The 12,194-nt window shown below is 45.3% G+C and overlaps 1 long non-coding RNA gene across 1 annotated transcript; it reads left to right on the top strand.

Annotated features, from left to right (window-relative positions):
• The first annotated feature begins 1,765 nt into the window (after positions 1-1,765).
• On the top strand, positions 1,766-3,657 carry LOC105378328 (uncharacterized). Its single transcript, NR_188199.1, has 3 exons — positions 1,766-2,168; positions 2,722-2,868; positions 3,411-3,657. It is a non-coding gene; the product is annotated as an uncharacterized LOC105378328 (long non-coding RNA).
• The last annotated feature ends 8,537 nt before the right edge of the window (positions 3,658-12,194 follow it).

The raw sequence follows: 12,194 nt of genomic DNA, 5'->3' as shown, positions 1-12,194 counted from the left end.
AAAATTAGCTGGGCGTGGTGGCGGGTGCCTGTAATCCCAGCTACTCAGGAGGCTGAGGCAGGAGAATGGCTTGAACCCGGGAGGCGGAGGTTGCAGTGAGCCGAGATTGCACCACTGCACTCCAGCCTGGGCAACAGAGCAAGACTCTGTCTCAAAAAACAAACAAACAAACAAAAAGACTGAAGCTCAGGAAAGGTGTGGGTCAGGGGTGTCCAATCTTTTGGCTTTCTTGGGCCACACGTAAAATACACTAATGATAGCTGATGAGCAAAAAACAAAAAAATTATACATACTTCATAATGTTTTAAGAAAGTTTACAAATTTGTATTGGGCCACATTCAAAGCCGTCCTGGGTCGCATGCGGCCTGTGGGCTGTGGGTTGGACAAGCTTGGTCTAGGTAAATACATTAATTTTAATAGGGAGAACATTTAATTTTCTTTTCTTTCTTTTTCTTTTTTTTTTTTTTTGAGACAGAGTCTCCCTCTGTTGCCCAGGCTGGAGTGCAATGTTAGGATCTTGGCTCAGTGCAACCTTTCCCTCCCAGGTTCAAGCACTTCTCCTGCCTCAGCCTGCCTGAGTAGCTGGGACTACAGGTGCGTGCCACCACACCTGGCTAGTTTTTTTTTTTTTGTATTTTTAGTAGAGACGGGGTTTCACTATGTTGGGCAGGCTGGTCTCAAACTCCTGACCTCAGGTGATCCGCCCGCCTTGGCCTCCCAAAGTGCTGGGATTACAGGCGTGAGCCACAGTGCCCGGCCACATTTCATTTTCTGCTGCAGAAAAAAGCAGCAGACCTAGAACTGCTGCTGAGGAGCCAGCAATTAGACATATGGTAGAAGAGGAAGGCAGAGCCAATGAAATAAGGAAATCCAAGACATTCCATAGAGAATAAAAATGGGACAGTGGTGGAAAGAATCAAAGTGACATACATAAAAATATGAAATAGAAAGACAATAGGTGATGTAGATAGATTGACTGTATCGATGAAGTTCCTTGAGAAGATGAAGGAGGAATGGAATTCAGAGCCCAAATACAGAAACTGTCCATGGGAAGGAAGGATGCTTGCTCCATTTTAACAAGTAGGAAAGAGAAAAGATGGTCATATAAAAGTAGTTGTGTAGTTTACTTATGGAGAAAATGTGGGGATTTGAAGCCAATTACTGCTTGCTTTTTTTTTTTTTTTTTTTTTTTAGATGGACTTTTGCTCTTGTTGCCCAGGCTGGAGTGCAGTGGCCCAATCTCGGCTCATTGCAACCTCCGCCTCCCAGGAGTGATTCTCCTGCCTCAGCCTCCCCAGTAGCTGGGATTACAGGTGTGTGCCACCATGCATGGCTAATTTTTTTTTGTATTTTTAGTAGAGATGGGGTTTCACCATGTTGGCCAGGCTGGTCTTGAACTCCTGACCTCAGGTGATCCACCCACCTCAGCCTCCCAAAGTGCTGGCATTACAGGCATGAGCCACCGCACCCGGCCCAATTACTGGTTTAAAAAAAATGAAGTGGGTGCAGCAAACCAACATGGCACAAGTATAGCTATGTATCAAACCTGCAGGTTGTGCACATGTACCCTAGAACTTTAAGCATAATTTTTAAAAAAAAGAAGAAAGAAAAAAATGAAGCATGAAGTAAAATTATTAACTGAGAACAGAGGGGATACAGTTTATCTAAAAACATTAAAAGAAAAACTTAAGGAAAATTAAAACAGAATTTAATTGAGCAAAGAATGATTATTGAATCAGGCAGACCCCCTGATCCAGAATAAATTCAGAGAGACTCTACTACTGCTGTGTGGTGGGAGAAAATTTATGGACAGAAAAAGGAAAGTGATGTACAGAAAATAGGAGGGAGGTACAGAAACAGTTGGATTGGTTAAAGTTCGGGTGTTTACCTTACTTGAACACAGTTTGAACAGTTGGCCACCTGTGAATGGTTGAAGTATGGCTGCTGTGATTGGCTGAGACTCAGCTCCTGTTACAAGAGTGGGTTACAGTTTGTTTACACATCCAGTGAGGTTACAGTTCACTAGGTATGGAGGAGCCTTAGGCCAAACTTAAAATATGTAAGAGGCAGCTTTATGCTAAACTTGACAAAAGAAAGCCTCAGAGTGGGAAAGTCAACCTAAGAGAGAAACCGTTTATTTTGTGGGTAATGCTGAGTGCCCATTTGAGGTATGAAATTATAAATAAGGCAAAAAGTAATGTCGAAAGGAAGTAAAGGTAGTGCCAAGGGAGCAGAGGTTTCTTTTAGATGTTGGGCCACAGAAGGCCATGGAGGCATTGCCATTTGAGCTGGGCCTCAGGTCTGGTGGAGGTAGGGTTAGTACTGAGAAGACTCAGGGAGAGTGAATGACAGGAATTTTTTTTTTTTTTTTGAGACTGAGTCTTGCTCTGTCGCCCAGGCTGGAGTGCAGTGGTGTGATCTCTGCTCACTGCAAGCTCCGCCTCCCGGGTTCACGCCATTCTCCTGCCTCAGCCTCCCGAGTACCTGGGACCACAGGCGCCCACCACCACACCCAGCTAATTTTTTGTGTTTTTAGTAGAGATGGGGTTTCACTGTGTTAGCCAAGTTGGTCTTGATCTCTTAACCTAGTGATCCGCCCACCTCAGCCTCCCAAAGTGCTGGGATTACAGGCGTGAGCCACCGCATCCGGCCAAGTGAATGACAGTTTGTGGGAGACCTGTATGTCCAGAATTCACTAACTACATCTTCTGATTCTTTCAGTGGAGACCTAAAAACCAGACTCTGAGCAGTAGCATGAACCAAATGTTGTCCTAGACCTGAAGTTTGGCCATATCCCATTGTAAGCATTGACATCACCACCTACCTCTCAGAGACAGTTAACAGGCCTGAGGTATGATGAGAAAAGAGGTGAGAAAAATAAAATCCTGAGGCCCCCCAACCAGCTGATCAGACTCCCTCTTGGCCAAGGAGACCCCACAGAAACCTTAAAAACTGAGTTCCGGCCAGGTGGGCGTGTGACTCACGCGTGTAATCCCAGCACTTTGGGAGGCCGAGGTGGGCAGATCATGAGGTCAGGAATTCGAGACCAGCCTGGCCAACATAGTGAAACCCCCATCTCTACTAAAAATACAAAAATTAGCCAGGTGTGGTGGCACGTGCCTGTAGTCCCAGCTATTCAGGAGGCTGAGGCAGGAGAATCGCTTGAACCCGGGAGGTGGAGGTTGCAGTGAGCTGAGACCACGCCATTGCACTCCAGCCTGGGTTACAGAGTGAGACTCTGTCTCAAGAAAACCACACACAAAAAAACTGAGTTCCTGGCCGTGATGGGATGATGAGAGGTTGGACACAAATTCCTCATTATACTCTCTCCCTTGCTAATCACCATTAGGCTTTCTTCCCTAGGGGTTAAACAGAAAAACTCACTCCACTCCTTTTTGTGGTTTCAACAGAGCAACCAGACACAACAACTAACCAGCATTCCTTCCTGATAATAGACCACTGACCTTGGAGTGGCTCTGGCCAGTCTACAAAGGATGCACACTGAGTACCTTAGTGTCCTCTGCTTCACCTTTTGACATCAGAGGGCAGAAAACTCCACCCATGCCTCCAGGCTTCCATGAAGAGGCATGAAGCTCAGTTTCCGCTTTCATAAATATTTATGACTCCTCCTGTAGCTATTAAATAATGTATATTTGACCACTCAGTTCAGCATAAATTCTTATTCCTTTTGCCCCTCCCTTGAAGTGCCTCTTTCTGACTTCTATTCAGAGACTGTTTCCCAGTCTGTTGGAATGGCCACTCTCCAGGCTGCAACCATTTATGAGAAATAAATCTTTCCAGCCAGGTGCAGTGGCTCATGCCTGTAATCCCAGCACTTTGGCAGGCTGAGGTGGCTGGATCACCTGAGGTCAGGAGTTCAAGACCAGCCTGGCCAACATGGTGAAACCCCATCTCTACAAAAATACAAAAATTAGCCAGGCATGGTGGCGCGTGCCTGTAATCCCAGCTACACTGGAGGCCAAGGCAGGAGAATCTCTTGAACCCAGGAGGCAGAGGTAGCAGTGAGCCAAGATCATGCCATTGCACTCCAACCTGGGTGATGGAGCAAGCTTCGTCTCAAAAAAAAAAAAAAAAAAAAGGAATGAAAGAAATCTTTCCTTTCCAGTCTTATGAACCTCATTATTCTTCAGCTGACAGAAGTTAACAGGATAATACACAATGGCCCATTTGCAAATACATAAGCAAGCGGTTTCTTTGATTAGGTAGTTACTCTGAGGAAGGGTGCAAACCCCATGCTCTCTCAGAACCTCTCTAAATAATGGCTTTAACACACACTCCTGCCCTCACCACACCTGGCAGAGTGGGCCTGCCTGAGGGTGGAGGGTAGGGAGGTGGAGGTTGTATTTTGGGGAGGAGGATGGAGGTTTTGCCCTGAGGGGCCAGCTGCTGGGGGATGAGAATAAAACAGTATATGACAGACCACAATGGCTGCCACAGCAGAGGCTCCAGAGGAGACAGGGAAGTAAGCAGTCACCATCTCTCCTCTCCATAGGACTACCATTTCTAGTCCTATGGTAGGCTGAATTCTAAAATGGCCACCAAGATTTCTTACCCTGGAATGCATGCACTGTAAACCCCCTTCCCTTGAGTGTGTCCAGAACCTGGGAATATGTTGGCATATCACTTCTAGGATTAGGCCACATTATATGGCAAAGATGAAGGGAATGTGTAGATGTAATTAAGGTTCCAGTTGGTTGATTTTAAGTTAATCAAAGGAGAGATTCTCTTGGGTGGGCCTAACTTAATCAGTTAAAATATCTTAAAAGAGGGGCTAGATCTTTCCTGAAGAGAGGATGCTCCCTTACCAGCTTTGAGGAAGGAAGCCACTGTGAATTCCACAGCTTCAAAGAAATGAATTGTTTCAAAAGCCATGTGAGCTTGTGGGGTCCTTCAGACCAGCTGGTGTCAGTAATTTCACTGCTATGCGGGATTTGACAGAATATCTCAAAGAGGAAAATTTAATGTTTCATAATGTTCAAGTTGTTTTCTATAGAGCAGGGGTCCCCAGTCTTTACCCCAGGCTTCAGGTGAGCCCTAGCCCTGGCCTATGCCTTGATTGCAGCCTTGTGAGATCTTGAGCAGAAGACCTGTCAAAGACATGCCCAGACTCCTGACCCACAACAATTATGAGGTAATACACGTGTGTTGTCTTAAGCCGCTAAGTTTGTTATGTGGCATAGAAAACTATTGCAGACCCCTCAAGAGAGTGGAATTCAGAGGCAGAATTTTCTTGAAAAACAATCATCATGGCCAGGCAAGGTGGCTCACGCCTGTAATCCCAGCATTTTGGGAGGCTGAGATAGGCAGATCACCTGAGGTGGGGAGTTCGAGACCAGCCTGACCAACATGATGAAACCCCCAACTCTACTAAAAATACAAAATTAGCCAGGCGTGGTGGCGCATGCCTGTAATCCCAGCTACTCAGGTGGCTAAGGCAGGAGAATCACTTGAACCTGGGAGGCAGAGGTTGCAGTGAGCCAAGATAGCACCATTGCACTCCAGCCTGGGCAACAAGAGCAAAACTCCATGTCAAAAAGAAAAAATAAAGAAAAAAACAATAACCATGAGTAGTGAATTCATGTCATTGCACTACTCAATCCACAGAGGCTGCTGCACAGTGGGCTTAATACCTCTGAGGGCATCTTCAGCAACTACTCAACAGGAAGGAAAATGTGATATATTCAGGTACATGCCAAACACACTGACGTGTGACAACCACTTCATCAGGATCAGCAAAAGAGGAGAAAGGATGGAATTTTACAACCATGTCCAAATGGTGATGATGGGCATAGCACCCACCTGTGCCATCCTCTGCCATTTGATGTCATGCTGTTGGTCAGTCAGTCACAGGCTGTGAAGAGCATGCTGGACTTGGCCAGGCTATTAAGGGAAGATATTATAAACCTACTGTCTTAGTCTATTTTGTGCTGCTGTAACAGAATACCTGAGACTAGGTAATTTATAAAGAACAGGGATTTATTTCTTACAGTCTTAGAGGCTGGGTAGTCAAAGGTTGAGGGGCTCACATCTGGTGAGGGCCTTCTTACTGAAACTATGCTTATAAACTTTATGAATTAATCAGGGAAGAAGGAAAGGGGAAAAACAAAAATAAACCAAGCTTGCAGCACATTCAGCATGAATTATAAGATCAGCTTGCTCTCCCTAACCTGCTGCCTCATAGTTATTTGCTGCCTATTGCCTCAGAATCACATAGACCCTGTTACAAGATTATAGATCCCCTTAAATGCTCTGTAGCAGCAGTTCCCAACCTTTTTGACATCAGAGACTGGTTTAGTGGAAGACAATTTTTCCACAGACGAGGGTTGCGGGGTGGTTTTGGGATGAAACTGCCCCATCTCAGATCATCAGGCATTAGATTCTCATTAGATAAGGAGCCAGCAACCTAGACCCCTCAGCAACCTAGATCATGTGCAGTTCACTACAGGGTTTGTGCTCCTATGAGAATCTAATGCTGCCACTGATCTGACAGGAGGCGGAGTTCAGGTGGTAATTCTTGCTTGCCCACTGTTCACCTCCTGCTGTGCGGCCTGGTTCCTAACAGGCCGTGGACAATTACCAGTTTGTGGCATGGGGGGTTGGGGACCCCTGCTCTATAGATAACAACTTGAACATTATAAAACATTAAGTTTTCCTCTTTGAGATAATCTGTCAAGTCCTGCATACCAGTGAAACTACTGACACCAGCTGGTCTGAAGGACCCAACAAGAAGCTGACTCACCAAATAATGCAGTTGCCATGTCCTGATTATTTCATTCCTTTTACCACAACTAATGACTTCCATTTTCCAGCCCCTCATCCCCCATGATTCACTTAAAAACCCCAGCCCAGAAGTCCTTGGGGAGATTAATTTGAGGGCCTCCTCCCATCTGCTGGCCCTGTGCACTGTGATCATTAAACTCTTTGTCTGCTGCAAACTCTGCTGTCTCAGTCTGTTACTGCACATCTGGCATGCAAGCTGTTGGTCCTAAAACATTGCTACAGCATCCCATGGGGGAAGGTAGAAGGGCAAGAGAGCATGCATGCAAGAAAGCAAGAGATCAAACTTGCAGCCTCAAGACCTTTTATAACTGGCCTAAGTCCATTCATAAGGGTGGAGCCATTATGGCCTAATCGCCTCTCAAAGGTGCCACCTATTAACACTGTTGCATTGGGGATTAAGTTTCCAATATTTGCTTTTTGGGGGACACATTCAATCCATAGCACCTACAAAGACTTTAAAACTATCCGGGTTTTGGCCAGGAACGGTGGCTCACGCCTGTAATCCCAGCACTTTGGGAGGCCGAAGCAGGTGGATCACGAGGTCAGGAGTTCGAGAGCAGCCTGGCCAACACAGTGAAATCCCATCTCTACTAAGAATATAAATATTAGCTGGGTGTGGTGGCACCCTTCTGTAATCCCAGCTACTCGGGAGGCTGAGGCAGGAGAATCGCTTGAACTTGGGAGGCGGAGGTTGCAGTGAGCCGAGATTGTGCCACTGCACTTCAGCCTGGCCACAGAGCAAGACTCTGTCTTGGAAAAAACAAACAAACAAACAAACAAACAAATAAAACCTATCCAGCTTTCTTCCCTTGATATTTGGGAAACAGTAGCTACGCCTGAACTTGCTACAGGGTGTTCTTTGTTTTGCATTTTTGTATCCCTTCGGATACATGGAAGACTTCTTTAGTTATCAGAAAAAGCCATTTATTTTCTGAGACCACCAGTGGAGAGTTGCACTAATCCCTAGGCAATCCCAACTAGAGACACAATGGAAATGCCTATTATTAAATGAGAGACAAGAAGAGCCAAGCAGTAAGGCTTCTGCAACTCAGAAAAAATGGGGCCTGGGTGCTTTGAGAGAGCATCTAAAAGCTGGTCCTGCAAAGCCTTTGGTGCTCTTCAAGGCTCCCCAGGAAAATGCATTTCATGTCAAAGAGCCCAAGCCTAAATGGGCCAGTATTGAGGTATTTGCCACATTGGACAGGTTCTTGATGCTTCTCCAGAATGTGCCACAAGGCTTAATTTCAGACATTCCTTGGATATTAGCTGCTCTAATCTCATACTCAATATTGTAATTATTATAATTATCTCTTTACCATCATGATAATCCAGTCTCTCCTTGAACTACTCAAATCAAGGCAGACCAATCTGTGGTAGGATATATTTTAAAATTCTAACATTTGTATATTTGATATTGGATTTTTTTTTTTACTATTAGAAAGTCTTTCATTTGTGTGAATTGTAATCTGTCTTCCCATGACTGCTATGCTCTGAATTTTTTTTTCTTATAAATCACTATAACATATGTGTGTGCAACCAGGCACAATCTGTTCCCTGTATCAAAATGCAAAATGTGCATATCCTTGACTCAGCAATCCCCATTGTAGAAACCTTCTCTACAGAAATACTAGCACAGAGGTAGAAAATAAAGGTATGTGAGGATGTTCATTGGGGTGCCATAATAGTACCCTCCCTAATTTTGGAATAGTTCAAACAAAACTAGCCAGACCATTTGACAGGCCTGCTAGAGAGAGGGATTCCTGCATCAGGTGGAAGCTTGGATTGGTTACCTCAAAAGCCTGTCCGGTTATAAGTCCTTGGTTTGCTCATTTATGGGGAGAGAGTGGAGCAGACTGTCCTGGTCCCACTTTCTGCTTTCTGAGCTTCTCTGCTGAGCAGGAGAAAAAGATGAACCTCCATTATGCAGTAGGAGAGGGAGTCCAGTGCACCTGCCACACATATGATGTTTGCAGACTGCCCAGTGAAGCCACCCAAGAGCATTCTTCTGTAGTCACAAAACCTACAAGGCCTGCCACAGAGACAGTAACAGGGACAACAGCAGGGTTGGGAGTAGCAGGGGCAGCAGCAGGCCCCAGAGTAGTGCTGGGCGCTTGGCTGCATCCAAGTCCACATGTCCAGAACAGATAGCACAGCAATGTCAGGGGCAGCCAGCAAGGGCCCAGGAGGAAAAGGAGCCAGGATGGTCACAGCAGGACCACCAGCGCGTCCTCAGTGGGTGTTAAATTAGCTGTGCGGGTGCTTCATGCATATCCTTGGAGAGCATGTCTAGCATGTGGCCAGGGGCTGCCAAGGGATCCCCAGAAGGCAGAACGAGTGTGGTGACTACAGTAGTAGAGATCACTAGCAGGAGTGTTGTGAAAACAGCAAAAGGGCCAGTAGGGAGATCTCTCCTTTCAATCTTATAGAGTAAAGGCTGCATCTGTAGGTCTGGATCTGAAAATAATAATAATAACAGAATAAAGGCTGCATAAATGAATGGGATGAGAGAGAGTTTCCCAGGTCAGTGCTGAGGTCCAGATGGAAAGATAGGAAGCAAGGGGAAGGTACAGAACATAGAACTCTAAATTAGAGAATCCTCCATTACAGGAGGTTATGTGAAGATAGCAGCAAGACAAATGAAGATAAGTAAATCTGAAAATTATCTTCCTGCCAGTCGTTAGCCATGAGACCATTAGAAATTTTAAAAAGGGCTAAGCATGGTGGCTCACACCTGCAATTCCAGCATTTTGGGAGGCCAAGATGGGAAGACTGCTTGAACCCGGGAGTTTGAGGGTGCGGTGAGCTATAATTGGGCCACTGCACTCCAGCCTGGGTGACAGAGCCAGAAACTGTCTCTAAAAAGTAAATAAATAAATTACAAAAAGAACAAGGGCAGAAGCAGCCCAGGAGGCACCAGCAACAGCTTCTCCACTCACAAGAGCTTCAGGCACCATCCCACCATAAAAGATTCTAGGACATTTCACCATTGGAATTGGGAAGCTGCTCTACAAACTAGTTCAGATTCTGCAAGTAAGATATCCAGCAGGATAGGCTCTTTCTTAAGCTACTGCAAAGCCAACACTACTACAAGACAGAACTGTGGCCCCACTACCTGGTAGAGAGAGGGACATGATGTCTAAGACAATAGAGGGCAGCAACCTGGGGGCTCTCTGGAGACAGCAGAGGGTAGCCAGGGGCTAGAGATCATTGTATCGGGATATGAGAACAGTGAGGTAGATGGTAATCTTTGAAACTGAGCCTGTTAAAGAAGAACTAGAGCAGGAAGCTACCATAGGGATCTGGACTTGGGGGAGTATCTTTTTTTTTTTTTTTGAGACGGAGTCTTGCTCTGTCTCCCAGGCTGGAGTGCAGTGGTGCGATCTCGGCTCACCGCAAGCTCCACCTCCTGGGTTCACGCTATTCTTCTGCCTCAGCCTCCTGAGTAGCTGGGACTACAGGCGCCCTCCACCGCGCTGGGCTAATTTTTTTTTTTTTTTGTATTTTTAGTAGAGACGGGGTTTCACCATGTTATCCAGGATGGTCTCGATCTCTTGACCTCATGATCCACCTGCCTTGGCCTCCCAAAGTGCTGGGATTACAGGCGTGAGCCACCGCACCAGGGCTTTTTTTTTTTGTTTTGTTTTTTTAAAAAGGGTCTCACTCTGTCACCCAGGCTGGAATGCTATGGCACAATGTTGGCTCACTGATAACGCGACCACCTGGGCTCAAGTGATCCTCCCATCTCAGCCTCCAAGTAGCTGGGACTACAGGCTTGTGCTATCATTCCTGGCTAATTTTTGTATCTTTTTTGGTAAAGATGGGTTTTTGCCATGTTGCCTAGGCTGGTCTTGAACTCCTGAGCTCAAGCAATCTGCCCATCTCGGCCTCCCAATGTGCTGGGATTACAGGTATGAGTCACCATGCCTGGCCTGTTTCCCTTTTTATATATGCACAAGAGTGATATAGGGTAAAAATATGCCCAAGTCTGAAGAACCAACCCCTTTCATTATATATAAAATAAAAATACTAAGTGGCAAAAACAAGGGCTTAACTTCAGAGAAAAAAAAAAAAAAAACAGTTTGCCAGCAGAGCCAGCATGTAAGCAATGGCCATCTTTCCTGTACTTAATAGGTGTGAGGGCCCATCATCCTTCTGCGTCATTCCCTGATATGAAAGGATCTGATAAGTCCTTCCCCATTTCCAACTTCATCATGAACAAAAGGGAAGACTGCCTTTAACTTTAAACAGAAACTAACTACAGTATAGTTTAGTTGTTTATTTTTAAGACTGGTGTTGACTAGTAAGCCCCATTTTGCTTCGGGCTGATTCAAGTGTTTTTTGAACAATTAAATTATTCTGTTTCCTGAAACTTTCAAATTATCCCTATTTCCCAATATTAATGGTTTGACTTTGTACTGTATAATACTTTGCACGTTTCCAAGCACTTACATGTACATTCCCTCTTTCAATTCTAACGGGCTCAAATTAGGGACTTGTCCAATGTCATAAAATTAATAAATGGCTGAGCTAGGTCTTGAATCTAGCTCTGTCTGGTTATAAACCCAGTTATTTTTCCACGACAAGCAGCTAAATATCTACCAGAATGACTGGATGTTGGTAATAATAGAAATAGAGGGTAACCCACTGCAATTACATTTGTTATTTTTGGTTTTCCTAGGTTCACAGTCCTGAGTACTAAGAGGTTCAGGCTAAAAAGAGAGTCGCTATTGTTAGTGACTCTATTCTCCTCCAGGGTATTTTCCAAGAACTATTCACAAACTAGACTGGGCAGGAACTGGCCATGTGAGAAGGGGGAGGGTAGCTGTGAGGTCAGCAGGCTCTAACTCCTCGGACTCTGAGCCAACTTGTCCAGTTGCTTCAGCCTGAGCCAGGGTGAACAAAGCCAAGTTAGGCAGGAGTCAGGCATTCTATTCAACCAAGTTCAATAGAGGAGAGTCCAAGGAAAGCAGAATTTCAGGGTAGTTTTTTATTCAGTAAGCTGACATTTGGGAAACGGCAGTCAAATAAATGCAGAAAGGCAATGATTCAATCGACTTTGTACTAAGTTAGTGTTTCTCAAAAAAGGAAGCTGAAGCGAACCCTCCAGAATCCTAATGTCCTTGGACCACTCAGCTTCTGGTGCACCAGTAGTGCTGCCTTTTTTCTATCTATAAAATATAACTTCAGCTGGGTGCTGTGGCTCACACCTGTAATCCCAGCACTTGGGAGGCCAAGGCAGGTGGATCACAAGGTCAAGAGATCAAGACCATCCTGGCCAACATGGTGAAACCCTGTCTCTACTAAAAATACAAAAATTAGCTGGGCGTGATGGCACGTGCCTGTAGTCCCAGCTTCTCAGGAGGCTGAGGCAGGAGAATCGCTTGAACCCGGGT

The sequence above is a fragment of the Homo sapiens genome, chromosome 10 (genome assembly GCF_000001405.40).
Source record: "Homo sapiens chromosome 10, GRCh38.p14 Primary Assembly".
NCBI classification, from domain to species: domain Eukaryota; kingdom Metazoa; phylum Chordata; class Mammalia; order Primates; family Hominidae; genus Homo; species Homo sapiens.
The sequence above is the reverse complement of the archived record's forward strand: the minus strand, read 5'-3'. Positions and strand labels throughout refer to the sequence as shown.